The 27,640-nt window shown below is 49.0% G+C and overlaps 2 protein-coding genes across 8 annotated transcripts in view, besides 8 other annotated features; one reads left to right on the top strand and one right to left on the bottom strand.

Annotated features, from left to right (window-relative positions):
- The window catches only part of USP7 (ubiquitin specific peptidase 7), a 71,810-nt gene extending 54,175 nt beyond the window's left edge, over positions 1-17,635 (top strand). For 5 of the 6 annotated variants that reach the window (NM_003470.3, NM_001321858.2, XM_047434605.1 and 2 more), the window contains 20 exons: positions 1,282-1,391; positions 3,150-3,306; positions 4,401-4,545; positions 5,167-5,297; positions 6,330-6,464; positions 7,250-7,351; positions 7,545-7,650; positions 8,498-8,590; positions 8,675-8,742; positions 9,102-9,202; positions 9,975-10,128; positions 10,544-10,611; positions 11,093-11,201; positions 11,295-11,372; positions 12,633-12,733; positions 13,991-14,090; positions 14,582-14,701; positions 14,877-14,948; positions 15,092-15,182; positions 15,628-17,635. In NM_003470.3, coding sequence (NP_003461.2) covers positions 1,282-1,391; positions 3,150-3,306; positions 4,401-4,545; positions 5,167-5,297; positions 6,330-6,464; positions 7,250-7,351; positions 7,545-7,650; positions 8,498-8,590; positions 8,675-8,742; positions 9,102-9,202; positions 9,975-10,128; positions 10,544-10,611; positions 11,093-11,201; positions 11,295-11,372; positions 12,633-12,733; positions 13,991-14,090; positions 14,582-14,701; positions 14,877-14,948; positions 15,092-15,182; positions 15,628-15,734 — 2,148 coding nt within the window. In that variant the 3' untranslated portion in view covers positions 15,735-17,635. The remainder of the gene's footprint in view (positions 1-1,281; positions 1,392-3,149; positions 3,307-4,400; positions 4,546-5,166; positions 5,298-6,329; positions 6,465-7,249; positions 7,352-7,544; positions 7,651-8,497; positions 8,591-8,674; positions 8,743-9,101; positions 9,203-9,974; positions 10,129-10,543; positions 10,612-11,092; positions 11,202-11,294; positions 11,373-12,632; positions 12,734-13,990; positions 14,091-14,581; positions 14,702-14,876; positions 14,949-15,091; positions 15,183-15,627) is intronic. The other variant, NR_135826.2, reaches the window with a different exon arrangement.
- Positions 5,383-5,884: an enhancer, noted in NCBI's record as "H3K27ac hESC enhancer chr16:8997705-8998206 (GRCh37/hg19 assembly coordinates)". NCBI's record gives its function as "activates a minimal SCP1, AML or CMV promoter by ChIP-STARR-seq in naive H9 embryonic stem cells {active_cell/tissue: H9 hESC(naive)}" and the evidence as "EXISTENCE:reporter gene assay evidence [ECO:0000049][PMID:30033119]".
- Positions 17,345-17,574: an enhancer, noted in NCBI's record as "active region_10361". NCBI's record gives its function as "activates an Ori minimal core promoter by ATAC-STARR-seq in GM12878 lymphoblastoid cells {active_cell/tissue: GM12878}" and the evidence as "EXISTENCE:reporter gene assay evidence [ECO:0000049][PMID:35858748]".
- Positions 17,625-17,684: an enhancer, noted in NCBI's record as "active region_10360". NCBI's record gives its function as "activates an Ori minimal core promoter by ATAC-STARR-seq in GM12878 lymphoblastoid cells {active_cell/tissue: GM12878}" and the evidence as "EXISTENCE:reporter gene assay evidence [ECO:0000049][PMID:35858748]".
- Positions 17,755-17,904: an enhancer, noted in NCBI's record as "active region_10359". NCBI's record gives its function as "activates an Ori minimal core promoter by ATAC-STARR-seq in GM12878 lymphoblastoid cells {active_cell/tissue: GM12878}" and the evidence as "EXISTENCE:reporter gene assay evidence [ECO:0000049][PMID:35858748]".
- Positions 17,965-18,234: an enhancer, noted in NCBI's record as "active region_10358". NCBI's record gives its function as "activates an Ori minimal core promoter by ATAC-STARR-seq in GM12878 lymphoblastoid cells {active_cell/tissue: GM12878}" and the evidence as "EXISTENCE:reporter gene assay evidence [ECO:0000049][PMID:35858748]".
- Positions 20,974-21,816: an enhancer, noted in NCBI's record as "H3K4me1 hESC enhancer chr16:8981773-8982615 (GRCh37/hg19 assembly coordinates)". NCBI's record gives its function as "activates a minimal SCP1, AML or CMV promoter by ChIP-STARR-seq in naive and primed H9 embryonic stem cells {active_cell/tissue: H9 hESC(naive and primed)}" and the evidence as "EXISTENCE:reporter gene assay evidence [ECO:0000049][PMID:30033119]".
- Positions 23,259-23,398: a silencer, noted in NCBI's record as "silent region_7182". NCBI's record gives its function as "represses an Ori minimal core promoter by ATAC-STARR-seq in GM12878 lymphoblastoid cells {active_cell/tissue: GM12878}" and the evidence as "EXISTENCE:reporter gene assay evidence [ECO:0000049][PMID:35858748]".
- Positions 24,382-27,381, bottom strand: LITAFD (LITAF domain containing). 2 transcript variants are annotated; one of them, NM_001395434.1, is made up of 4 exons: positions 26,942-27,381; positions 26,446-26,522; positions 25,267-25,409; positions 24,382-24,545 (listed from the first exon to the last, which is right to left on the bottom strand). In NM_001395434.1, exons 3-4 carry the CDS (start codon positions 25,374-25,376, stop codon positions 24,437-24,439), a joined length of 219 nt encoding a protein of 72 aa, NP_001382363.1. In that variant the 5' UTR covers positions 25,377-25,409; positions 26,446-26,522; positions 26,942-27,381; the 3' UTR covers positions 24,382-24,436. The 2 variants fall into 2 exon arrangements, with proteins under 2 accessions (NP_001382363.1, NP_001382362.1); NM_001395433.1 differs by having other exon boundaries at positions 27,222-27,381.
- Positions 26,744-27,244: an enhancer, noted in NCBI's record as "H3K27ac hESC enhancer chr16:8976345-8976845 (GRCh37/hg19 assembly coordinates)". NCBI's record gives its function as "activates a minimal SCP1, AML or CMV promoter by ChIP-STARR-seq in primed H9 embryonic stem cells {active_cell/tissue: H9 hESC(primed)}" and the evidence as "EXISTENCE:reporter gene assay evidence [ECO:0000049][PMID:30033119]".
- Positions 27,382-27,640: the final 259 nt, after the last annotated feature.

Here is a 27,640-nt window from a genome sequence, read left to right as displayed (position 1 = left end):
CAGGTCTCAAACCCCTGACCTTGTGATCCGCCTGCCTCGGCCTCCCAAAGTGCTGGGATTACAGGCATGAGCCACTTGCTCATCCAGAAAGTTGCTTTTTAATGAGAACTTGGTGTGATGAAGAAATATTCTGGTCTGTTGACGAGAATTACTGTTCTCTATTCTGGATGTTTTAGGGTCTGGTTGAGCAGTATGTATTTGAGTCGAAGCCTCAGTGGACAGCGGTGGAGACAGAATCCTTTTATCTTTCAGACTGTATTAAAAACAGGTCCTTCCCCACTGTGGAGAGGGGTTCTGAGGTCTGTTTTTGTCTTTCCTGAGATAGCTCTGTCCTCTTAAATGAGCTGATGTACACCAAAGAACCTTGGCATATGGGTGTGCCTTGTCATGGTCCCCAGTTCCTCCAGGTCTCTCGCTGGCTGCTGGGCAGGTGGATTTCCAGCCAGAAGGAAGGTCTGCATTGGAAATAGAGCTGTGAGTCAGACATGGAGTGAGGGCCCCTGACCGCCTGGCCGTGGTCGAGATAGGCAAAGCCTGATTTTACTGAGGAACAAAGAGCTGGCCAAGATGGAGCAGTGATAGAGCAGGGCAAGAGCTTAGAGTCCGGTGTCCCCATAGAAGGCTTGTTGAGAAGTTGGGGTGTCCTGTCCCACAGAGTCCGGCAGTCAGCTGGGGAAGGGCCTTGCTGACACTGAATCAGAACATTTTCTTAGAAGTGGGATTGAACCATAAGCCCTAAGGGCGTGCCCTGTGATATATGGGTTCTTATGCAAACATCAAAGAGCCCAAGGAAAGGAAGCTTATAATCCTGCCGACTCATCAGTTGTGTTCATTGCTGCTTGTTCTGTTTGGGCATTTCATAAGCATACCTAATCTTGGGTAATTGTAACCAGAGTTTTCTGATTTTCCATTTAATGATTTTTCTGTGGTTCTCCATAATTTGCACAGTGTTTAATGACTGTATAACACAGCAGCAAATGACTGTCTAAATTTCCTTAACCATTTCTTCCCTGATTGCTGGGCATCGAGTTAGAATATAATCCAAGGTAAGAGAATCTCTCACAGTCAGTGCTGGTGCAGCATTATTTTAATAAACAAAGAGACCCATAAACAGACCTAAAGAAAACATTTCAAAGATGCCCTAAATGGACACCTAAACTTCCCTGCCTTTGTCTCCAGAGTCTCCAGACATGTTCCAATCTTGCTGAACCGCTGTTGCTTTCATTGCTTCCAGGAGTAAGTAGAGGCTAACTACATTTGCATTTGTTTTTCAATGTTTAGGAAGCAGAGAAAGGTGTGAAATTCCTAACATTGCCACCAGTGTTACATCTACAACTGATGAGATTTATGTATGACCCTCAGACGGACCAAAATATCAAGATCAATGATAGGTAATCTATAGTGGGATATAAAGTTAAGATTTCATCATCATGCTGGTCTAGGGGGTTAGTCTCAGTGCTTTCCTCAGTCTTTATATTTTCAGTCCCACATCTGATTTATTTAGATTTTCCTTCTACCTCTGTGTCCCAAGAGCCGCAGTGTTAAAGGAATGATTTTATGTCAAGTTTCAGAGGTCAACCTCTGCCGAGTCCATTTCCCCTCTCAGGATGCTTTGCCCAGTCCCAGCCCTGCTCTCAGCTATGGCTGATTTAAGTCCACAAGGATGGGGCTGTTTCTGCTTCACAGCTCTTGCATTCACAGGATTTCTAATAAATTTAATTTTGACCGATTATAAATGTTATTTCAGAGGGGACTTTTAGTGTATTCGTTTAAATAGGATTTTCCAATATTTTGTTGTCTCTCAGTTGGCGTCAACTTTTAGAATGTGCTAGAGTTTTCAAGAATGCTAAAGTAGTTGTTTGTATGCCAGTTACAAGTAGTTATTTTATTTTTATTTACTTTGTTTTATTATGTTTTTGAGACAGAGTCTTGCTGTGTCGCCCAGGCTGGAGTGCAGTGGCATGATCATGGCTCACTGCAGCCTTGAACTGCTGGGCTCAAGCTATTCTCCTGCCTCAGCCTTCCAAGTACCTGGCTAATTTTTGTATTTTTAGTAGAGACAGGGTTTCACTATGCTGGCCAGGCTGGTCTCAAGTGATCTGCCGGCCTCAGCCTCCCAAAGTGCTGGGATTACTGGCGTGAACCACCACACCCGGCCACAAGTAGTTTTCTAGGTTGTTAAAATAGTAGATGCAGGAGTGACAATGTGCACTACCTTATCTGATTTAGAATACAGTATTTTTATCCTGATTAGTTTGAGCACCAGCTTTGTATGGAATATAGGTTGGTCATTCAGCCTTCAGGTTTAAGGGAGAGTGTAATCAAATCACTTTACTTGCTACCAGCTGAGGCTTTGGTCACCCATTCACAGTCTTTACCGTGGTCAGAAACTGTCTCAGCCAGAAACCACAAACTGGCAGCCTTCAGACCAATTCCAACCTGTTGGTATGTTTCTTTGGATCCTCACTTTGTTTTTATTTTTGTTGGAGCCAGTGGCAGACATTTTTTAAATTGTGAGATTTCACATAAATGTTCAGATTTGGGCATCGTTTAGGAATCAGAAGGTTTGGCAACTTGAGGCCACCATTCCTGAAGGCCGCAGGGGCTGTGAGCTGAGTGGTGGCTGCTTCGCAGGCCGGGTGCATGCTGTGCTTGAGACCAGCCCCCACCCGTCTAACTTGCCTTCCTGCCTCTGTTAATTTTGCAACACTGATGGTGAAATTTGGTCAAGTAAATCAAAATTTGTAGAGCCAGTTAAAACTAAGTCAATTTCAGGATGTCTGTAGAATATTAAAACTAAGTCAATATTCAGAGTGGGAAATATTTTTACATGTCTTTCTGAATTTGATTTTTCATGTTTCTCAGTTTGCAGATATCCTTAGTAGTCTTAACCTCGACCTTCAGAATCATTTCTTGATATATTTGGAATTCCTCCACCCTAAATTATTCATAGTGTATATTTATGTTGACTAGGAATAGTTATTTCTATCAAGTACGGATTACGTTATGTACTTCATAGGCCTTCCCAAGGCAATTCATGCTTATCCTATTAAAGATGAGCCAGTACATTAAATGGCCTTACTTACTGTAAAGTGTGATATTTTTTGTGTAAATTAATACTGAATTTCTTTTAAAATGTTTTCTAATAGGTTTGAATTCCCAGAGCAGTTACCACTTGATGAATTTTTGCAAAAAACAGATCCTAAGGACCCTGCAAATTATATTCTTCATGCAGTCCTGGTTCATAGTGGAGATAATCATGGTGGACATTATGTGGTTTATCTAAACCCCAAAGGGGATGGCAAAGTAAGTGGTGGGACCCAGGGCTGAATGCAAGCTCATCAGAAAGTTAACACAAGCTCTGCTTCAGCCTGTTCTGGTTCCTACTCGGAACCTTGTCAGGGACCCCTAACTGATCTATGTATTCTCTGGCTGCTAAATGCTGTTTTCCCATCCATTTAATTGCTGAGATTTGAAGGTAAATAGTAAATTAGCATTTGTGCTTCTCTTTGTGAGTAATCAATGTTGGGCCCTACAGAATCCCTTATATGTCATATGAGACACTTATATTTTCTTCTGAATGCTCGTGGGATAATTACCCATGCGGTGGGCCCAGTCGGGGAGGCTGGCTGGTCGCATGTCCCTCTGCGTGCCCCCTGGTCCTACCTTGTTTCCTCTCATGGGGATCTCATGCAGTCTTCACCACCACTCTTGGGAGTGTAGAGGGCGCCATACTCATTTGGCAGATGAGGGTCTTGGAATCTACCCCCAAGACCACAGGGCCAGCACCGAGCTCCTGCCAAGGGGATTTGGTGGAGGGACCCGACAGCACGAGAGAACAGTGAAGAGTGCGTGTAACAGCAGCGTTCATCACTGTTTAATGTGGCTGCATCCACAACGCAGATGGGAAGATAACTGTTAGGAACATGCTACGTTGACTTCAGTCTGGCCCTTAACTTGCTTCCATAAAATGCCATGGGATAGGATAAAACAGCTCATTTAGTTTGATAACTAAAGGATAAAATTTGAACTCTCGTTTGGTGTGCTCAGTATGGCCTTTTTAATTCTGTAAAGAGTTGGTAGTGTCAGTAGATTGAATGTAAGTGGAAAATGGGCTATTTCAGTAGATTATAAAAATTGCCATTGGGCGAATGGTAGCAGTGCCCACAGAATGTTGAATGGGGACTGCGAAGGTCCTGGTGAATTGTATGAGCGGATGCCTGAGGCGCTGCCTGCCTAGCACACCGTCAGATTGTGTGCCTGTATAAGAACACACATGGATATTTTTTCAACTAGGGGCATACCTAGAAGTTCACACATTTTAGAACAACGCTGCCTTCTAGTGTTGGGTACTTGTCACAGTGCTTGATCGCTGCTGGTGTGTGTTGTTTTCCTTGCAGTGGTGTAAATTTGATGACGACGTGGTGTCAAGGTGTACTAAAGAGGAAGCAATTGAGCACAATTATGGGGGTCACGATGACGACCTGTCTGTTCGACACTGCACTAATGCTTACATGTTAGTCTACATCAGGGAATCAAAACTGAGTGAGTAGTGTTCACTTTTGTTCTGTTCTTTACTGTGGTGGACTTGGACATTTGTACCATGAATCTCCAATATCCTTTTCTGTCCAAACACATTTTATGCTTATTCCATTGTATTCACAGCAGCGCAGAAATGAGCAGGGTTGGGCTTGCGCGTTTCGATGCAGACTTATGGTACCAAGTAATTTCATGTTAATAGATTATTTTATTTTATTTTTTTGAGACGGAGTCTTGCTCTTGCCCAGGCTGGAGTGCAGTGGCGCGATCTCGGCTCACTGCAAGCTCCACCTCCCGGGTTCTCGCCACTCTCCTGCCTCAGCCTCCCAAGTAGCTGGGACTACAGGCGTCTGCCACCACGCCTGGCTAATTTTTTGTATTTTATTTTATTTTTATTTTATTTTTTTTTTTAGTAGTAGAGATGGGGTTTCACCATGTTAGCCAAGATGGTCTTGATTTCCTGACCTCGTGATCGGCCCGCCTCAGCCTCCCAAAGTGCTGGGATTACAGGCGTAAGCCACCACGCCGGCCTAATAGATTATTTTATTAATGATGACCTAGAATCGGGAGCTTCTAAGAGGGGAAAGTCCATCTGCAGGGGTCAAAGAGGATGCCTTTGTCCTGCAGGTGAAGTTTTACAGGCGGTCACCGACCATGATATTCCTCAGCAGTTGGTGGAGCGATTACAAGAAGAGAAAAGGATCGAGGCTCAGAAGCGGAAGGAGCGGCAGGAAGCCCATCTCTATATGCAAGTGCAGGTCAGCCCCCGCCCTTCTGGGACTCCGGGTCACCATGCAGCCGGGCACCCATCTCTATACACAAGTGCAGGTCAGCCCCCACCCCTCTGGGACTCCCAGGTCACCATGCAGCAGGGCATCCATCTCTGTACGCAAGTGCAGGTCAGTCCCCACTCCTCTGGGACCCCTTGGGTCACTGCACAGCAGGGCAGCTGCCCAGAGAGAAGCTGCTCCACGTGCTCTCCTGAGCTTGGTCACAGTCCCAGAGTAGTTCCTGATACACAAACCGGGACTGTTGTGCCTTGAGCTGCCCTGGGCAGCTGCCTGAGTATTTGTAACACCTGGCCCTGTTGGTGGCGGGCAGAGCCAGTTCAGGAGTAAAGACTTGGTTGTCAGAAGTCAGGCCACCAGACAGAGAAGTGATTAAGTGCACGTCAGGTTGCTTCAAAAAGTACTGAGGGGGTTGGAGAAAGGGAGGAGGTCATCTCACCGTTGGCTGTCTAGCTAGGTCCAATTTATAGGTGAGTTAAGTTATTGCAGTGAAACACAGTCTCCTTTTCTTTTTTCTTTTCCTTTTTTTTTTTTTTTGAGACAGAGTTTCACTCTTGTTGCCCAGGCTTGAGTGCAGTGGCGCGATCTCTGCTCACCTCAACCTCTGCCTCCTGGATTCAAGTGATTCTCCTGCCTCAGCCTTCCTAGTAGCTGGGATTACAGGCATGTGCCACCACACCCAGCTAATTTTGTATTTTTAGTAGAGACAGGGTTTCTCCGTGTTGGTCAGGCTGGTCTCGGAACTCCTGACCTCAGGTGATCCGCCCGCCTCGGCCTCCCAAAGTGCATGAGCCACCGTGCCCTGCCCACAGCCTCCTTTTCTAAATAAATACCTGATTTAGGTTTTGGTCATTTTATGCGGTTTTTCTTCATTGGTCTTCTGAAGAAGTTTCTTTGGAACAAAAAATGAGTTTTCAGCGTTTTAGTGTTTAAATGTGTTCAGTGTGGACTCATTTTTTGTCAGTTGTCAAGTCTTTTCTGTGCTTTCATACATATTTTCAGATAGTCGCAGAGGACCAGTTTTGTGGCCACCAAGGGAATGACATGTACGATGAAGAAAAAGTGAAATACACTGTGTTCAAAGTATTGAAGAACTCCTCGCTTGCTGAGTTTGTTCAGAGCCTCTCTCAGACCATGGTGCGTACCGGTCCCGTGGATATACCCCACCGTGGCTCCCAACGTCCACCTTCCTTCCGTGTCACTAGAAAATACTGATTGCCTTTGGGGGTAGGTGCTGTGTCCAGCCACTGCCTAACAGTGAGGAGTGTGACCCAGGAACATTTCCTGCCTGAGAAAGTGCAAGAAAACCATTGAGCCCCTGACTCCTGCACAGGGGAACCCACAGGATTTTGCAGACATGTTTTCACCCCTTTTCCTCATCTCCCACTCCACTCCCTGCACCCCTACCCCCTCTTTATTTTTGTAAATGGGCATTCGATCCTGAAGGATAAGTCACAGTTGTCCAAATCAACCGGGGAAGAATTAGAATTCTTTTTCTTAGAATCACAGTCTTTTTTTCTTTTTTTTTGAGACAGAGTTTCACTCTTGTTGCCCAGTGGCGCGATCTTGGCTCACTGCAACCTCCGCCTTTTGGTTTCAAGCAATTCTCCTGCCTCAGCCTCCCAAGTAGCTGGGATTACAGGCACCCGTCACCAGGCCCAGCTGATTTTTGTATTTTTAGTAGAGACGAGAGTTCACCATGTTGGCCAGGCTGGTCTTGAACTCCCGACCTCGTGATCCACCTGCCTCGGCCTCCGAAAGTGCTGGGATTACAGGCGAGAGCCACAGCACCTGGCCTACGATCACAGTCTTAACATTGACTATATATATATATGTATATGTATATACATATGTGTGTGTAATATAGAGGACTAAAATATGAGCGTGTTTTTATTTTAATCTACTCTTAATATTTTTTTCAGGGATTTCCACAAGATCAAATTCGATTGTGGCCCATGCAAGCAAGGAGTAATGGAACAAAACGACCAGCAATGTTAGATAATGAAGCCGACGGCAATAAAACAGTAAATATTGTTAATAGCGTATCTGGTTTGGAACCGTGCAGAAGGCGTTAGTCCTCTGCACTTAGTGCAGCTTGTTTCCCTTTTGGTCCACTTAACTAGAATTGGACGTTTTCTTCAATACTTGACTGTAGTTTTTCGCTCTGTCACCTAAGCCATTAGACTCTTCTAAAATCAGCGTCTCTTTTGGAAATAGATGATTGAGCTCAGTGATAATGAAAACCCTTGGACAATATTCCTGGAAACAGTTGATCCCGAGCTGGCTGCTAGTGGAGCGACCTTACCCAAGTTTGATAAAGATCGTAAGTGCCCACGAGACGCCTGCCTGCACTTAGAGCAGTAGCGTTGGATTCCTGGATTGTTGTTCTAAACACACAGGGTTAAGCCTTCTTCCCTTGCAGAAAGATGTGTTGATCAATTCCACAAAAGCTCACTAGACTTCCTGATGAAGTCAAATAAGACTGACTTGGCTGCGAGTTTCCTGTGAGGCCCGGAGACAGTAGCAGCCACGTGGGGCCGTCCTGTTCTGTCTTCAGTCTCAGCTGCTGTGCTGTGCTAATCACGTTGGTCAGATCCTAAAGAGCAGGGTTGCAAACGTTGTCTGTCAGGGACCACATAGGCAATATCTCAGGCGTTTCAGGCCTTTCTGTCTGTACTAAGGCGGCCACAAAGACTATATAAATGAACGAGCTGGCTGTCTTCCAGTACAACTTTATCGACAAAACAGGTGGATCGGAATTTGCTGACCCTTGCTATAAAATGACAGACTTTTATTGCTGTGAGTGGTCACTTCTGGCAAAGACACAAGACCATGCGCAATCTTCCCGTGGCAACGCTCTTCCAGCCAGTCAGTCCAGGTCTCAGAACTAGGAATTCTAAGTTTGCTGCACTCAGTACCGTCTTGACTGTCTAAATGTAGTGGGTTTCCATGGGTCTGATGTTTGGAAACTCAGCGGTAATAGCCTCAGCTTCGTGAATAAGCCACATCTGAAGTAACTTTTAGGTACCTTAAGCTGTCATTTCACTTGTCATTGAGCTATTCAGCTTACTGTTTTTTTTTTTTCGTTTTTTTGTTTGTTTGTTTTTTTGTTTTTTAAGCATTGTGCTGAGTGTTTGGATCTTAACAAAACTTGTTTATTAACCTTGTAGATGATGTAATGTTATTTTTGAAGATGTATGATCCCAAAACGCGGAGCTTGAATTACTGTGGGCATATCTACACACCAATATCCTGTAAAATACGTAAGTCCTTCGTGCACTTACCTTCTGAGTAGATTTTGCTCAGTACATTACAGCTACACATTTAAAATATCTTCTTTCTCCTAGGTGACTTGCTCCCAGTTATGTGTGACAGAGCAGGATTTATTCAAGATACTAGCCTTATCCTCTATGAGGTTTGGATGGTTTATTTTTCCATAATTAGTATATTCTTAGTAGTTTGTGGAGGGTTTTGTTTGTTCTTTTTACCCCGAATTTGTTACAGTGTTAGGTCTACCAGCTAACTCAGGGCCTCAGATGATCTTGAGAATGACATATTTAGATTTGTGAATTTTTTTTTTTTACCTGTTGTAGAATCAAATCTGATTGTTACATATTTGTGGATTTATTCATTTAGCTTTTCCTGTTAACATTTTAACTTAAAAGGTGGATAGAATTGGGTGTAGAGAAAATACTTAAGTACATGGAAGACTATCTGGCCATATTAAACGTTAGACAAACTTGCAGTGTAACAATTTTATATCTTTCACTGTAGGAAGTTAAACCGAATTTAACAGAGAGAATTCAGGACTATGACGTGTCTCTTGATAAAGCCCTTGATGAACTAATGGATGGTGACATCATAGTATTTCAGAAGTATGTACTTTGTGAAGGATTGTATCACTTTGTACTAATTTCAGGATTTTTTTAAGTTGTAGAACCAAGAAACATTTGTACCTAGATCCCGAGCCACGTTTTTGTTTTTGTTTTTTTTAATGTAACTGTTGAGAGGCTTTCTCTGGGTTTTGAAATTAGGTGTGGTGAACATTTTCATCTCATAAAGCTCTTCTCAATTTCTTAAAAATTCCTTAAAATGTCTCAAGTGCACGTGGCAACTATTAGTAGAGTGGGAACAATTGCTTCCTTCCCCTGAGATTTATGAAATCGAAACTCCTTAGAATGTACCTACTTGGGTAATTCATTTCAGTCTGTCTTCATGTAAACCAGCCAGTCTTTGGTCTTAGACACTCAGTGTCTGAAAGTGGCTCGATGGCACACGAAAGCCCAGATTTCCTGACTCACGGTCAGAGACTGGGCTCCACCACCTGTCAGGTCTGTGGGCAAGACACTGCGTCTGGGTCTGCTCCTGTAGAGGAGAGCAGGTGCTGTTACCTAAGGGGGTTTTGTTTTGTAGTGGGATGAGAATGTAAAGCCACTACATTGCGCCTGGCTCAGTGCATCCCCATGCATACTTGCCTCGCTTACAGAGGGAGCTCAGGCAGATGCCTGGCCCCCTCAAAGGGGAACCTGAATTTATCTTGCAAGAGAGCCTGTTGGTGTCACTGTTGTGTAAAAGATGATGCCATTTTTACCAGCTACCCCCTGCCATGGACTTTGATTCAGACTGCAAACTTTCTCCCTCCACCAGGGATGACCCTGAAAATGATAACAGTGAATTACCCACCGCAAAGGAGTATTTCCGAGATCTCTACCACCGCGTTGATGTCATTTTCTGTGATAAAACAATCCCTAATGATCCTGGATTTGTGGTTACGTTATCAAATAGAATGAATTATTTTCAGGTATTTAATAAATGCTCCTTTCCTCTTCAGATCCCACTCCAGAAAGACAAATTTCTTTCTTAAAATGCTTGTTGAAGAAGCTATCTCATGGTTTTGGTTCAGAAGGGGCTATGCCCGAGGAAATCTCCCACTGATGGATTCAGGCTCTCTGCCTTGGGAGCTAGAATAATCGCCATCAGAAAAGAACCTGTAGACCTCACCATTAAAAGTGAAAACCCTTTCCAAAGTTATCTTCATCAGATATGCTACTCCCATGGTGATTCATTAAGGAATAATATAGTTTATTCCTGTTTAATAAATTTCTAGGGAATTTAAATTCAGGCTGCTCATGGCACATTTTAAGTAATTAAGCATGAAGTTTATGACCAAGTTTCAATTTTTCCCCAAAATGTGAACCTTCCTTTCTGTGTCTTAGGTTGCAAAGACAGTTGCACAGAGGCTCAACACAGATCCAATGTTGCTGCAGTTTTTCAAGTCTCAAGGGTAGGTCACATGTGTGGACACTTGCTTGGTCTTGACTGCATGCTTTCCACAGTTCATTGAAACATCTTGGAACTAATTTTAATAATTAGCTCGCCATTTCACCTGACAGTCCATTTCTTGCTTAGTTTCAGAATTGTCACCACTCACATCTTGACCACATTACTCTGAGATGTTAAAATAATTGACAGCCTCATCCAAAGCCAGACTGACTTTAGATACATCCTCAGTGCATCTCCCATGTGTCCAGCTGGTCAGTCCTGCCAGGCTGCTGTGTGTTTTGTCACTATTGCAGAGAGCATTCAAGTGTGACAGCGAGTGGGACTTAGTTCTTGGGAAACAGGAGTATTAAGTTAAACCCCATGCTAGGTCCAAATTTCAAGACCAGGTGTAAGGCCAGCGGTTTGCTTTTATGCTCACTCACAGATATTTGTTTTTAGGCAAATAAACAAGTCATTTATTTATATGCTGTTTTCTTGTGTAGTTATAGGGATGGCCCAGGTAATCCTCTTAGACATAATTATGAAGGTACTTTAAGAGATCTTCTACAGTTCTTCAAGCCTAGACAACCTAAGAAACTTTACTATCAGCAGGTATGAGTCCAAATTAATGTAACTATGGGTCATAAAGAGAAGGCTCGGGGTTTTGGTGACGGTATCTGATGTGAATCTTTCTTTTCTTAATAGCTTAAGATGAAAATCACAGACTTTGAGAACAGGCGAAGTTTTAAATGTATATGGTTAAACAGCCAATTTAGGGAAGAGGTAAGTTTTTTTAATACTATGAATTTTAATTTTTATTGGAACTTGCTTATTGTTTCTACCTGTCCCCAGACATTGAAAACTAAGACACCACAGAAAAACACTCTAAACAACAGCACATGATGGGGGCTGGGGGAGCCCTGGGCCAGTCTTTCCTGCCTCCTGGCAGGACCTCCTGAGGCCTCTGGGGTGCATGACATGTGGAGCTAAGGAACCATTCGGCAGCCAACCCTTCCCTTCTGGGTCCCACTGTGATGCTTGCGCATTGCCACTTGGCTGAGGAGGAGGATCCTTCTCCAGCTCTTCCTGCCGCGGCCTGATCTCAGGGAGTCCAGCAGGCCTGTGAACGGAGCAGTCCATGACTCTGCGCTTACTCCCCAAGCTGCTAGTGTAGACAGCTCCAGTGTCACCTGCTTGCTCCAAACAGAAGACGCATCCAGCCACATTTTAGGTGGTTCTTTTTCGAGACAGGGTCTCGCTCTGTCACCCAGGCTGGAGTGCAGTGGCACCATCACAGCCCACGACAGCGTAGACCTCCTGGGCTCAAGTGATCCTCCCACCTCAGCCCCCCAAGTAGCTAGGATTACAGGTGTATGTCACCACGCCCAACTCATTTATATATATATATATATATATTTTTTTTTTTTTTTTTTTTTTTTTTTTTGTAGAGACAGGGTCTCACTATATTGCCCAGACTGGTCTTGAGCTCCTGGGCTCAAGCATCCTTCTGCCTCAGCCTCCCAGAGTGTTGGCATTACAGGCATTAGGTGGTTCTTCAAAAAAGTCTGCATGCCTATTTAGATGCTAGATCTCTCACCCTTTCTAGCTCTACAAGTATAGAGGGAAAATTCGAGACATAAATAGCCTCACCTTTGTAGAATTGAGCTCCCTGAAGGCCCACAGTCTGCCTCTGGTCTTGTATCTGGACCAGCATTCCTTTCTCATTGTGCTGAGAGTTGGGAAGGCCCTGGGTGACCCCTCGGGACCATTTCCTGAGAAGGTGTTCTGTAAATGACAGGCTTCTTGCATCAAGGCCACTTTTGTTAACCTCCCGTCAGTATTTGGTTGGTCCTAGATTAGGGCCAGTGTCCTCACTGTGAGTGAATTCACAGATGAGGGAGTTGGGGTGGGAATGAGAGCAAGAACATGGGGGCCAGCTGGGGACAGTTGAGAACAATGATGCAACTTTCTCCTCTCTTCCTTTGTGGTAGCAGACCTTTTATGCTTTCTTGAAAGCACTTATTTTATCTTTTCATTACTTAGGAAATAACACTATATCCAGACAAGCATGGGTGTGTCCGGGACCTGTTAGAAGAATGTAAAAAGGCCGTGGAGCTTGGGGAGAAAGCATCAGGGAAACTTAGGCAAGTATTTCTTGAGCCCAATTGTGGACGTTCAGTTAGGGGTGGCAGTTAACGCTGACCTCTGCAGTTGCGTTGGTGGAAATCACCCAGCTGGGATCCATGCGCGTCATTCCCAGACTCAGTGGGGTGTGCCTCCATTGCAAAGACAGTTGCACAGAAGCTCAACACAGACCCAGTGTTGCTCCAGTTTTTCAAGTCTCAGGGGTAACCCTCAAGCCGCTGTGGTGCAGAGGGTTATGCGTGTTTCACAATTAAGCCACGTTTTTCCTCCTTCCCCTTGTATCTTCTGATAACATTAGCTGTAGTAAAAAGGCGCAGTTCCCATAGAAAAGCCAAACAGAGGAAGGATACGATTCCATTTGAACGATGAACTGAAACTGGAAGGGGTGACTCCTGATTTTGTATTTGACAGATTGAGTCACTTCTGTTCCATCTAGCCAACATTTGGGCTGTAGAAAGAAGCCCCTGAATTGATTGTTTATTTCAGAGAGATGGGCATGATTCTCACTACTTTGCCCTGTAGTCGCTTGGAGGACAAATGGCTTTTGGAGCCATTTGGTTCCCAAACTTTCTTTAGTTTTAATAAAACAATTATTAAACAGTGAGACCCTAATCTATTACCTAATAAGAGTAAGCGAGGAAAACGCCACTATCAGCTGAATGTGAATTCCTTGTGGGAAAGGTTTATGCAACTTTCGGAGGCCCAGTCTGTACATCTCTGTGCCCAAATGTGGCCATTTCCACTTTGTCCAGCAGAGCCCTTTAATCTTATGCTTCAAGGGGACCCCCTCTCCGTGCCTTGCCTCCGGTCTCTGTTTCTGATATTTCAGATCCTCTTTAAAAAAAAAAAAAAAAAAAAAAGCTGGGCATGGTGGCTCACACCTATAATCCCAGCACTTCGGGAGGCCGAGGCGGGCGGATCACGAGGTCAGGAGTTCGAGACCATCCTGGCTAACCAACATGGTGAAACCCCGTCTCTACTAAAAATGCAAAAATCAGCCCAGTGTGGTGGCACGCACCTGTAGTCCCAACTACTCGGGAGGCTGAGGTGGGAGAATTGCTTGAACCCGGGAGGCGGAGGTTGCAGTGAGCTGAGACCATGCTGTTGCACTCCAGCCTGGGCGACAGATTGAGACTGTCTCAAAAAAAAAAAAAAAAACATATCGTGGTAACTTTATTTCTTTCTAGAAAACCATTTTATTTTTATGTGAATATATATACTTCATTTTGCCCTATTTTTTTTTCCTCTCTGTTCAGGCTGCTAGAAATTGTAAGCTACAAAATCATTGGTGTTCATCAAGAAGATGAACTATTAGAATGTTTATCTCCTGCAACGAGCCGGACGTTTCGAATAGAGGTATCTGTCCCCGATACTGTTGGCACCAGAGAGAATTCATGAGCCCCATCTGCTGCATATTTAAATATCACAGCAAGTTGTACAAGTAGCTTGATTTGTGTTTTTATACCAGTAATCGAGGTATATGATTCCATGAGTGGACCTACAGTGTTTTTGCACAGAAATTAGTCCTCAGTTTGGGTTACCAACCCAATCCAGACAGAAACTGTGGATCACTTGAATTTAGAGCTGTTGACATTTCCACAGGAACTGGGATAATACAGTATTTGGCCTCTTAAAATTCAGTTTTTTGGGGGAGGGGGAAGAAACTTGGATATCTTCTGGCTGAGACTCCCATGAGTGCCCATCACTCTGGCTGGATCCAGGTGTGGCGTTTTTTTAGCAAAAATAGGCTTTACCCTCCGGGTTAGAGTAGTGTGAGAATTGAGATGTGGACACTTTGACCACATCACTTGCACTTACAGAACTGTGTCTGTTGTCCGTGTCCCCAGGAAATCCCTTTGGACCAGGTGGACATAGACAAAGAGAATGAGATGCTTGTCACAGTGGCGCATTTCCACAAAGAGGTCTTCGGAACGTTCGGAATCCCGTTTTTGCTGAGGATACACCAGGTATGCTGTTGTGGTTGGCCGAGTGGCTCACGTCAAAACCTGGAGCCTTTGAGTGGCCGCTGTTGCCGAATCTGCGCTCCTGCTGGGGTTAGGCGTTGGTTTTGGCGGCTGCCACGTGACGTGGCCTGGGGGTGCTGGGAGTGACTGTGTGAGCACATGTCCTTTGCCATTCTAGGGCGAGCATTTTCGAGAAGTGATGAAGCGAATCCAGAGCCTGCTGGACATCCAGGAGAAGGAGTTTGAGAAGGTGTGCAGCTGGGGCCTCCTGGGGGCTTGGCGGGCCATAGGCTCAAGCCTTGCCTAGCGTAGCGGCCTAGGCTTTTTTGCCAGAGATGTGAGTTTTGCTGATATACAGAAATAACGGAGGAGTTTTAATTTTTTTTCTTTTAGTTTAAATTTGCAATTGTAATGATGGGCCGACACCAGTACATAAATGAAGACGAGTATGAAGTAAATTTGAAAGACTTTGAGCCACAGCCCGGTAAGGGTTCTCCCCCCCCCGGGGGCTGGTGTGGGTTTCAGACTAAGAAACAAGTGGTCTGGGGCTGGGAGGGGCAGCCCCAGGGTCAAGTGCCAGCTCCTCTCTCTCCACTGGCCGACCTGTGGAACCAGGAGCAATAGCATTCCATAACCTACGAGTTCTTAACAGGTCCTTACATCCTTTGTAACCTGTGAGATCTTCAAGGAGAGAAGCTTGGATATGTGTGCAGGGTGATTGAGACTCAGGGTTGTGAGGGCAGTGGCTCTGAGGCGCAGTCAGGGTGTGGGCCTCCTTAGCTCCAGGTGGGCGTGTAGCTCAGGTCCTGGCTTCCCTGCGAACTTACCCCTTGGGGAGCCACAGGGATGCATGCCTCACTGGCCACCACCCCGCTGAGGGGTTCCAGGGCTGCTCTGTGGCCTCACTTGCTTTTCTTCATCCCCACCAGGTAATATGTCTCATCCTCGGCCTTGGCTAGGGCTCGACCACTTCAACAAAGCCCCAAAGAGGAGTCGCTACACTTACCTTGAAAAGGCCATTAAAATCCATAACTGATTTCCAAGCTGGTGTGTTCAAGGCGAGGACGGTGTGTGGGTGGCCCCTTAACAGCCTAGAACTTTGGTGCACGTGCCCTCTAGCCGAAGTCTTCAGCAAGAGGATTCGCTGCTGGTGTTAATTTTATTTTATTGAGGCTGTTCAGTTTGGCTTCTCTGTATCTATTGACTGCCCTTTTTGAGCAAAATGAAGATGTTTTTATAAAGCTTGGATGCCAATGAGAGTTATTTTATGGTAACCACAGTGCAAGGCAACTGTCAGCGCAATGGGGGAGAAGAGGTTAGTGGATCGGGGGTCCCTGGCTCAAGGTCTCTGGGCTGTCCCTAGTGGGCACGAGTGGCTCGGCTGCCTTCCTGGGGTCCCGTGCACCAGCCCTGCAGCTAGCAAGTCTTGTGTTTAGGCTCGTCTGACCTATTTCCTTCAGTTATACTTTCAATGACCTTTTGTGCATCTGTTAAGGCAAAACAGAGAAACTCACAACCTAATAAATAGCGCTCTTCCCTTCATTGTGTGCATTGTCGGCCCTTCCTCGGGTTCTCCTCCTCCAGCTGCCTGGGGGCTTTTTAATAAACTTGTCTCACCTCGTCAGCCACTACTGTCTGCAGCCCCTTTGCAAAGTGGATGCACTGAATACAGTCCGGACAGACATTGTGGGGGTCTTTTTATTAAATCAAGAACATTGTTAAATTCAATTAAGGTTTACTCTGCTGCCTTGGCAGACTTACGATCTCAACAGTTCATACGAGCAGGTGAAAGGATTATAAATAGAATTTCGTTAAAGTGGAACAGACGACAAGAAAGCCTTTTAGCAAGAGGGCATGCTCACTAGTGGTTAGTAAGCTGTCGACTTTGTAAAAAAGTTAAAAATGAAAAAAAAAGGAAAAATGAATTGTATATTTAATGAATGAACATGTACAATTTGCCACTGGGAGGAGGTTCCTTTTTGTTGGGTGAGTCTGCAAGTGAATTTCACTGATGTTGATATTCATTGTGTGTAGTTTTATTTCGGTCCCAGCCCCGTTTCCTTTTATTTTGGAGCTAATGCCAGCTGCGTGTCTAGTTTTGAGTGCAGTAAAATAGAATCAGCAAATCACTCTTATTTTTCATCCTTTTCCGGTATTTTTTGGGTTGTTTCTGTGGGAGCAGTGTACACCAACTCTTCCTGTATATTGCCTTTTTGCTGGAAAATGTTGTATGTTGAATAAAATTTTCTATAAAAATTATAATTCAGTGAGTTACGTGGAAGTGGAGGAAGATTTCTACTCTCCCTGGAAACAGGCCTGGGAAACCTTGGCATTTGTAACAAGGTTTCACTGAGATGTACTTTTCCTTCTAATTCCGTTTTGCGGGGGCAGGGTCTCTTGTTTCTTTTTTTTTTTTTTTTTTTTTTTAGCCTCTAACTAGTCACATTTACTCTTAAGAAATGAAAGGTTTTCCAGGAGAGAACTGTGTACAAATAAGGTGACTGGAGATGTGACCTGATGTGTCACGAGGCCCTTCGGGGCGGCAGGCGCTATCGTGGGCGTGGTCCTTGCACCGTCCCATCGGCCTTGCCTTCCAGCTCCGTGGCACGGTTTCCTGGTCTTTGGGCCAGTGTGTACCTTGGAGTGACTTCCTTTCTCAACTTCCACTGCAGTGTGTGTGCCTTCTGCTCTGAGAGCTGCCTTGTGACCCGTGTGATAGAAAGCAGGGAGTGAGGGTCCCCGCGGACCTGGCCCTTCCCTCCTTCCTCCCCCAGAAAGAGGAGTTAGAGCAGGGGTGCGAGAGCCGTTCGCTGTGGGTTTGTCTTTGAACAAACATTAAGGTGTCTTGTTTTTGTTCTGGGCTGGGGGTTGGCTGTAGTCTTAGGTAACTGAAAGTTCCTACTCTCCCTTAAGGTATTAAATGACTCTTTTTCCAAAGAACGTGTTGTAATGTTTCCGTCATCTGCCGCGTTCCCTTTTCCACTCACTCGCAGTTACAGTGTCAGGAGTTTGAGTTTGTTAAACTGGTTCTGGGGAGACAAGCTGAAATTTTAAAGAAAGAAAAATGAACTCCCCTTCTCCGGCCTCACTGTAACCCCTGGGACTATTGTGTCCTCTCCCTCTGTGGGGTGTGGATGCCATCTGTTGACAGCATTCGGAGTCTTCACAGCGGGGAGCCCTGAAAACCACTGCGTGACAGCAAGGGCCTGCGGTCACAGTGGCCCTTCCCACGCCCTCACACACAAGAGCAGCGAGCTGAAGCAGTCTTGTTTCAAAATGAGAAGAGCAGCCAGGCGCGGTGGCTCGTGCTGTGAGCAAAGCCCAAGGGAGACACTATGGGACCTGGCAGAGTCCCCTGCAACGTGGGTGCCTTGACAGGGCGAGAAGCCACGTCTAGACACCATCGCTTCCTGATGGAGGCCCTGACCCAGCTTCTCTTTCACCAGACGGCAAGGACATTTGGCGTCATACATAACATCACTCATTTGCTGTGAGGCAAATGTTTATGGTGCCAGGGATGGAAATTGTGAGTAGTTTAAAGTCTTAACTCTGAAACCACCTTCACAGTTAAAGCAAATGCGATAAAACCTATAGCACCTGGGCCGGATGCGGTGGCTCACACCTGTAATCCCAGCACTTTGGGAGGCTTGAGATCGGTGGATCACTTGAGGTCAGGAGTTCAAGACCAGCTTGGCCAGCATGGTGAAACCTTGTCTCTACTGAAAACGCAAAAATTAGCCGGGCATGGTGGTAGACACCTGCAGTCCCAGCTGCTCGGGAGGCTGAGGCCAGAGAATCACTTGAACCCAGGAGGCAGAGGTTGCAGTGAGCTGAGATCGTGCCACTGCACTCCAGCCTGGGTGACAGCGTGAGGGAGACTCCGTCTCAAAGCCATAGCACCTGAAGGTTCCTTGAATTACTAAGGTGAGGTGTGTAAGTAAGACATCTCTCTTGTGGTTTGGGCTTAGGCTAGGGTCAGAGTTGGTAAACTTTCTGTAAAAGGCCAGAGTAGGTATTGTGTGATGGTCTCTGTTGGGACTCTCAGCTCTGCCAACATAGCATGAACGCAGCCACAGACAACAATTGAGTGGCGAGGCTGTCCCCACAAAGCTTTGTTTTTAAAAACCCCTTTTGTAGGTTTACCAACCCTGGATTGCAGGGAAATGATCTGTCTTCATGGCTTGCTATAAGGGCCTCTTGGGCCAAGAGAGCTTCAGATTAGATAGCCGAGTCACTACCTCCTAGTGGTGTAGGTAGGTCCCCTGGGGAGGAGGGGAGTCAAGATAACAACCAGACCTTGCCAACCCCATTGGACTACATCCCTAAGACTTTTGTGTGAGGGAGTAATGGGTAGTGTTTCCGGCCAGCCTTGCTACCACCCTGTCCTCACCCAGTCGTGTTCATCAGAACTTTGTCGCGGTGGAGCTTCTGGCCACCTGTGGCTATAAAGCACTTGAAATGTGGCTTAAGTGGCAGAGGGGGTTGAATTTTAATTTTATTCTAATTTGCACATGTGGCTGATGTCTTCCTTACTGGGTATGCAGTTCTAACAAAACATTCCCCACCTCGGGAGTTACAGTGACTAACTCGAGGGCTGTTGAGTGCTGCGTGAAGCACAGGCGTTGGAGTGGGCGTTCTTTATGGCCTACTCCCTAAAGCCTTCGGGACATTGGTTTTCTGCGTGAGAACAGTTAAGGACAGACTTCCCCATCCCTGCGTCTTGGCTTTGGGGGAGATGGGTGCCTGTGCATCTTCTGCTGACTTACGTTTCGCAGCCTTTAACTGAGTGAGGCCTGGGAGCTGGAGGCCATGAATGGTCTGTGAGCAAAACTGCAGGTTCCAAAGGGAGGCCCCCTCCCATCAGCTCCAAGGGGTCACTGACCCCCTACATGCTGCCACCTGTCAATGACTGGATCTGGGGGTTCACAGCACAGTGCCTGCACAGCACGTGGACAACTTGGGAGAGGGAAGAAGTTACGGATTCAGACCACCCTTGAAGTCCAGTGCCCAGGAGTAAGAGACTGGCACCTCCTGTCCTTCCCCACCCGTACTCAGCATCACTCAGCCCTTTGAAGCTCATTGCTGCAAAGCTGGTTTTGCAGCGAGGAGGCAGAGAAAGGTGGTTAAGGCCAGCCCCTCCCTGGTGGTGAGGGTTAGTCCAGGAGCTGCTCAAGGTTCCCAGCTTGGCCTTGATGGCCCCTCCACGCCTTTATCCCACAGGGCGTGGCTCGAGGCCACGTGCACCTGGCGCATCTTTCTGCCCTGGCTGAGCTGAGAACTCCAGTAGGGAAATGGTATGGGTGGCATTGTGAGGAAGGCCACCAGCCACCAGCGAACTCTGCCCACGAGCTGGTGCCAGTGCCACACCTGCCCATTGGGCTCCTGTGAGAAGGTGGGGTGGGGGCTGTTCTGACTCTTGCCTCCGGCTAATTAGGAGGGACAGTAGCAAGAAACCCTTTGTGATAACCATTGTGCACAGTGAGCCAGCCCTGAGAGGTCAGCAGCGAGGCGTCTGGTGGCCCAAAGTAGGCCAGAACCCTGAGCCATGGGGGCTTGAGCCTTGCTCAGTGTGGAGCAGGCATTCAGACCCCCACTGGCTGCCCGCCTCACCTCCCTGTTCCAGGTAGCCCTAGCTCAGCCCTCCATGCGGGGTAGGATGGGGGCTGTCCCCAGTTTCAAATGAGGGTTCAGCAACTTGCCAAGCTCATCTGCCAGTGGTGGGCCGCCCCTCTGACAGGCCCCGAAGCTGGGGAAGAGGCCGGCCCTGGGCGTGGAAAGGGGTCAGGGAAAGGGGTGCAGGAGAAGGAAGCCCCGGCCCTGCCGTAGCCTGGCCCTGCGGCAAGGTCTTGGCATAGGAGAACCTGAGGCTTCCCTGGGACAAAGCCTCAGACACATGAACACCGAGAGGCTTAGAACAGTGGCTCAGGTCCTGTTGTCTAAGGCAGTGACTGCAGACACCCCGAGGCTTGGGTCTGGGGGTATTCCAGGGGACTGGGCCAAGGGACAGATGAAGTCCCGCCCCACTTGGCAGCCTCTCAAGACCCCAGTTCCTCTGCACCTACACCTTCAGACAGCGGAACTTGAGAAGCCTCGACTTTTTTTTTTTTTTTAATGTGTATTTTTGTTTGTCTTAGTTTTTTGAGATAGGGTCTCACCCCATCTCCAAGGCTGGAGTGCAGTTGTGCAGTCATGGCTCATTGCACCTTTGACCTCTTGGGCCCAAGCGATCTATCTGCCCCAGCCTCCCAACTGTCTGGCAGCACAGGTGTTACCACCATGCCCGGCTAATTTTTTAATTTTTTGTAGAGATAGGGTCTCCGTAGGTTGCCCAGACTGGTCTCAAACTCCTGGGCTCAAGTGATCTTCTCGCCTTGTCCTCCCAAAATGCTGAGATTACAGGGGTGAGCCACCTCGCCAAGCTGAAAATCCTGGATTTTCTATACGAATTGTCCTATTTCTAAGAGTTGGCAAGTGACGTTTTCCTAACACGGGGCAGTCTGCATCCAGAAGGCCTGGGGACTGATCCATAGAGTCATAGCAGAAGCTTGCAGCCATGCCAAGGACCTGGCCACCTCTGAAGGCACAATGGTGACTGACTCAGGCCGATGAAAGCTCTCCTGTGACTGAGGAAGACCTGGCACCCAGCCAGTCCACACTGAGTGAGCAGAGCCTGGCCGTGGTTGGACACTGTCCCTGGACTGCAGGCGCTCATGTCTCTGGAGCCATCTGGGAATCCGAGTGAAAGACAACAGTCTGGGTGGAATCAGAACGAGAGGCTCCAGCTGAACTCTGCAGATGGAGGGTTCAGGCTGTAGATGGGCCTTGCCAGCAAGACCGAGCAGCCCCCGATTGTCGCCTGCCACAGCCTGGCTGCTCTGCAGAGCCATCAAATCTCTCCCTCTGGATGGTGGAAGCCCGGTGGCTGGGCCCTCGTCCTAGGTGAGACCCTCACGCCTCACCTTGAGATAGATCCTGGATGGATGACCACCCGCCTCGTCCACCAGGGGCTTTTCTGTCTCCCTATGTTGACCTGGTGCCCGTGTCCTCATTTATTACAAATGAGAGGTTGCTTCCTTTGTCTTCAGGGACTTACTGGGGTTCCCAGGTACTAGCTGCCTAATTTGTGTCAGAAACTTCACCATCCAACCCTAAAAATCTTGCTGAGTCTCTGAAGTGGAAATGAAGGCTCTGGGGCCTGCAGCTAGTGTGGACCGGGAAGTTGTTCTCCCGATTTAGCCAGGCCTTTGGGTGGTGGCAAAGGCACAGGCATTGGGGCATTTTACTCCAGGGAAACCTGTCCCAGAACTTGTCCTTCCCCGGGGCTGGTGTGACCTAAGGACCTGTCAGCCCCATCATGCCAGGCTTTGGCCAAGATGGCTGTTGCCTGACCTGTGGCTTCCCGGAACCTCTACCTGCTGAAGACCACATGATGGAAGACAGGTAATGCTCCCTTCTATCCCTCTAGGCCTTTGGCCACAGACGTGCACACACACACACCCAGACCCTCAGCCACACACACACACACCCCCCTCCTCCAGGCCTTCAGCCACACGCGCGTACAAACATGCATTCACACACCCTTTCTTCCAGGCCTTCAGCCACACACATGCGCGTACACACATAAACACACACCCTTCCTTCCAGGCCTTCAGCCACACACACATGCACCCCTCACCTCTGTGCCTTCCTCCCTGATGCTGAACCCTGAGGACAGACCTATGTCTCCAGCGCTGATCTAGTTACTCAGCCTCAGCTTCCGCATCTGTAGGTTGGGGCAATAATGGGTCAATACCCCATCGGTGTGAGCCTTACAGCTCCCCCAGCCACATTTTAGTGAAGACGGCTTCACGTGCCCCCAGCTCCCAATTACTTCTTCCCCCAATTCTTCCCTTACTTCTTTTCTCCCCTCTGTGAAATTCATCTTATTTGAAAACATGACGAGTAGAACAATATTTCTACTTTACAAAATTTATTAACTTTTTGAGACCCTTTCACCTAGGCTGGGGTGCAGTGGCATGGTTAGGGCTCACTGCAGCCTCGACCTTCCAGGCTCAAGCAATCCTCCCACCTCAGCCCCACAGGTAGCTGGGACTACAGGCACTCATCACCATGCCCCGGCCCCGCATTTCAGTAGAAACGAGGTCTTGCTATGTTGCCCGGGCTGGTCTAGAACTTCTGGACTCAAGCAATCCTTCCACCTTGGCCTCCCAAAGTGCTGGGATTACAGGCATGAGTCACCGTGCCCAGCCTATTCTGCAAAATTTAAGTCCTTTAGTGGTGACACTGGATTCTCCTCTACCCCGTCGTCCCCCTCCTGACCGTGTCTGCAGGCAGACCCTGAAAGGGGTCCTATTCATCAGCTTATTTGGGGCTTGTTAATGTCCACCTTCCTCCACAGCAGCTCTGCCGGGAGTCCTGTAAGGCTGCAGCTGTACGGGAGTCTTAAGGGTTAAACCTCTTGGTGGGAGGCCAGACAGATCAGGGCAGACTTGCCCCATCCTAGCTTCTATAACCCGCCTGTCCCCGCCAGGCCCTGGGATACAGAGGCGAGCCAAGACCTCACAAACCACCTGGGGAAAGTGACACACCAGAGAGCGGGTGACCAGACTGACAGGGCAGGGGCTGATTGGAGGGCTGGACGCTGCTGGGAGCAGCCTGGGGAGGTCGGGTGGGTGGTGAGGGAGTGGCACTCGGTCCTATCTGGCTGGGGTGGGCAGGGGAGCTGGAGCCAGCTCACAGATGGCCTCAAGGGGCCCCAGGGGAAGCATGTGGACTTGGGCTGAGAGAGGCACTTTGTCGGCAGGTGTCGGGCATAGTCCGAGCAATTCCAGATCCTCACCCACAAGAATCACCGGCTCAGTGCCGGCCACTGGCTGCTGGAGAACAGCAGGAGCAGGAGAGACTCTCGATAGGGAAACCCGGGGCTGCTGCCTCCTTCAAGGAGGGGATAAAGCAGAGGAAATGAATCACTGCAGGGCAAGAAGGACAGGACTGAAGGGCTGCCCTGGAGGGGGCACTGCCACCCACTCTTGTCCCAGCTACTAGGCCCAGGAGAAGAGAGAGGAGGGAGTTACTGTGAGACCTGTTGGCTCTGCAGGGCCTCAAGCATCCTAGGGAGAAGGTTGTGGGTGGGATGCAGGAGCTGGCGACGGAAGCATCGGGTGTGACAGGAGGAGCCAAGGCCAGACCCTGAGGAGCACTGGCCAAGTGACAAACCCACCAGCAGGGGCTGGAGAGCTGCTGCAGCCCAGGAGATGGGGTCTTTGGGGAAGGGAGGGAGAGTGCCAAGGGCTACAGAGAACCCAGTCAGGTAGGAGCGAAGGAGCAAGTGCACGTAGGATGTTGCACTTAGCAACGGAGCCACTGGTCAAGAAGGCAGTGGCAGGGCCCAGAGTAAGCCCGGTTGTGGGTTGAGGTGCATGCAGTGGGTGAGGATGTGGCTATCAGGGAGAACAGGTCTCTCCTTCCGGCTGGAGTTGCAGGGAGATAGTTTTCCCAAAGAGGCAGAGGCTTGAGCTGATGGGAGGGAGCCCAGAAAGATGGGGCTGAACTATGGACTGTGGCTCTAAGGAGTCAAAAGAGGGTGAACGGTGGACAGGACGGCGCGGCCCCCACACACTCAACGTGGGCTCCCAGAGCACCAGCGGCCACCCAATCTCCTGGGCTGACAGAGCAGAAGGTAAGGACATAGACACGGGTGTGCCCAGGTGGCACCCCTGGCATTTATTTCTTGGGGGCTCACAGGCGGTGGTAGTAGAAGAGCTCGCGCTGACACACGGGACACGAGTGCTTCACGTCCATTAGGCTCCTTATGCAGAATGCCAGGAAGCAGCAGCCCAGGACGTACCTGCAGCCCCGGAGCGGAGGCTGGGCGTGAGCGGGGCCACCTCTCACTGTACGCTGGACGCACCTGGGACCCAGGCAGAGTCTGGGAGGGGCCTGGGCGTGTGTGTGTATGTTTGAGACAGAGTCTCACTCTGTATCCCAGGCTGGAGTGCAGTGGCGTGATCTTGGCTCACTGCAACCTCTGCCTCCCCTGCCTCAGTCTCCTGAGTAGCTGGGATTACAGGCACGTGCCACCACACCCGGCTAATTTTGTATTTTTAATAGAGTTAGAGACAGGGTTTCAGCACATTGGTCAGGCTGGTCTATAACTCCTGACCTCAAGTGACGCACCCACCTCGGCCTCCCAAAGTGCTGGGATTACAGGCATGAGTCACCGCGCCTGGCCCCTCTGTGTGTTTCAAAACTCCACAGCTGAGAGGTAAGAGCCATCCTGAACCCGCAAGCTCTTGGCTGCTGGTGACAGCAGCAGCTGCCGTGGGTGTCCTAAGCTGGCTGCTTTGTAGGCATCACTCACCCCTCCACTCCCTGCTGTTCTCATGGGAGGTCCCTGGGTCAGAGGGCTGCCGCCTCCTCTCAAGGAGGTAATGGCCCCACCCAACTGGCCTCCCCTATGCTTGGTCCTGCTATTTTCCCCGAAAGCTCCCCCTACCCTGCAGGGACCCACCCGGACCCACCCCTACCAATGCTCAGGCCTCTGCAGCGGCGGAGGGGCGGCCACTCACCCGAACAGGAAGAGGGTGGTACACAGCAGCCAGGTGAGGGCACCCGGGACAAAGGTCGTCACCGTGATGATGCGGTTTCCACAGTAGGGACACACGGCCTGCACCGGCATGGACGTCCCCACCACGGACATGCCGGCATACAGCTGTGGGAGTGGGAAGCGGGAAGCAGGTGGGACCCCCCGGGGCCAGGACCCCTGTGGCTTCTCAATTCCCATGGGCTGTCGGTGCTCACCTGAGATGGGGAGATGCTGGGATCTGGAGACTGGGGACCTGATATGTGGGGGTGTGGTGTGGCTCCCCCACCCCGGTTTGGAGGAAACTAAGGAAAGAAGTGTTCTTAGCTGGAAGTGGGGTTTCCAGTGGGCTCTAAGGGTGCTTTTTTCTTTTTTCTTTTTATTTTGGAGACGGAGTCTCACTCTGTCGTCCAGGCTGGAGTGCAGTGGTGCGATCTCAGCTCACTGCAACCTCCGCCTCCCGGGTTCAAGCGATTCTCCTGCCTCAGCCTCCTGAGTAGCTGGGACTATAGACATGTGCCATCACACCCGGCTTATTTTTGTATTTTTAGTAGAGATGGGGTTTTGCCATGTTGGCCAAGCTGGTCTTGAACTCCTGACCTCATGCGATCCACCTGCCTTGGCCTCCCAAAGTTCTGGGATTACAGGCCTGAGCCACCGCACCTGACCTAAAGGGTGCTTTTCAATGGTGACGTCATCTTCACTGTGCCCTCCAGGAATCTATCCAACCCAGCAGTTCTGAATCTGGAGACTGCCTGAGAATTCCTTGGAAAATTTGTTTAAATTCCCAAAACCCAGGCCCCACCTGGGGGGCTCGGCCTTCCCCTCCTCTGTGGCCTGAGGGGTGGTGTGTTTGCAGAGTAGAGAACGGGAGTCTACTCCATAAAAATTTCCTGAGTGCCTACTGTATACAGGCCCCATCCACCAGTGATTTCCCTCTGGAGAGAGATGCTTCGGTGGCCACTGGCAACACAGCCAGCATGGGAGCAGGGGCAGCTGGCCAGCTGCGGGGTCCCACAGCTACGGGGTCAGGGGAGGAGAACTTGCCAGAGGATGTGCTGTTTGGGCAGAGTCTTGGTCAGAGGTCAGGAAAGAGAATATTCTGGGCAGCTCCGAGCAGGGGACAGAAAGCGACAAGGGAAGGCCGGCAGGGGCACTCACCTACCTGAACAACTTGGGGGCCTTCAAAGTACATCTGGTGAGGAGGACCATAGGGAGGAGGGGGACCAGCAGGATAAGGATCTTTAGGAGAGAGAAAGAAAAGCACCCTCAGATCAGTGGGCTCACTGTATGCCAGGGACTTAGCTCAAAACTTAGGCCCGGATGCAGTGGCTCACACCTGTAATCCCAACACTTTGGGAGGCCAAGGCAGCAGAGCACCCGAGATCAGGAGTTCGAGACCAGTCTGGCCAACATGGTGAAACCCCATCTCAACTACAAATACAAAAATTAGCCGGGCACAGTGGCGCACGCCTGTAATCCCAGCTACTCGGGATGCCGAGGCAGGAGAATCACTTGGAAAACAGATTCTGAAAGATTCGGTAACTTTCCCAATTCCACACCAACATGGCCAGGCAGCCCCAGGGCCAGGACAGCCTCTGCCTCCTGCTGCCTCCACGCTCAGCCTCGGTTGTCTCTGGCCACGGGCAGGAGCGTCATACCTGATGTGGGGGAGTCATTAGTCTCATTTGGCGACTTCCTTGCAACACTTTAAGGGAGAGTACAGCACGTTGAAAGCCCCACTGCCCAATGGTCTCTATTGGGTTCCGTGGCCCCCTGATTGGTGGGGACAGTAGGATTTCGGGGAAGGGTGGTGAGGACTGAGGGCAGCCCCCAGCTCAGCACAGGGACCCTCGTCTCCTCTCTGCTTCCTGCGGTCTCCAGAGTAGACTTCTTCCCGGTCCCTGCCAGCCCTGGCCCCTGAATGAGGGGAGCCCTCACCCGGGGATGATTCCATCCTGGTGCTCTGGAGGGCCTCTGTCCCAGCAACAGTGCCTGGGCAGCACCGTGTTCTGAGCTCCGAGTGCTCATGTGCTTATTTCTAGGAATTCTCATGAGGAGGCCCGGTTGCCAGGAGGTGTGAGGAGCTGGGGCCACACCTGTCCACCTCTTGCTGGGCCTGGCTCCAGTAGAACAGCCATTGTGATGTGTGCCTTCACTGTGGCCTCATCCTCACTTCCTGCAGGAGGAGGGCAGGGGCTTCCCGTGGGCATGGCTTGAACAGCCTTTGGAGATGGCCCTGCTCCATGTTTCCACGGCCCCACATGGTGGGTGGGTGGGAGATTGCTGACGGCTGGGTGGGGAAACTGATCAAGGGTCTGAAATATAGTCCTGTTAGAGCCCAGCCATTCTGTTTGGAG

Source organism: Homo sapiens, chromosome 16 (genome assembly GCF_000001405.40).
Source record: "Homo sapiens chromosome 16, GRCh38.p14 Primary Assembly".
Classification (NCBI taxonomy): domain Eukaryota; kingdom Metazoa; phylum Chordata; class Mammalia; order Primates; family Hominidae; genus Homo; species Homo sapiens.
Note: the sequence above shows the minus strand (reverse complement) of the source record. Positions and strands in the feature narration are given on the sequence as shown.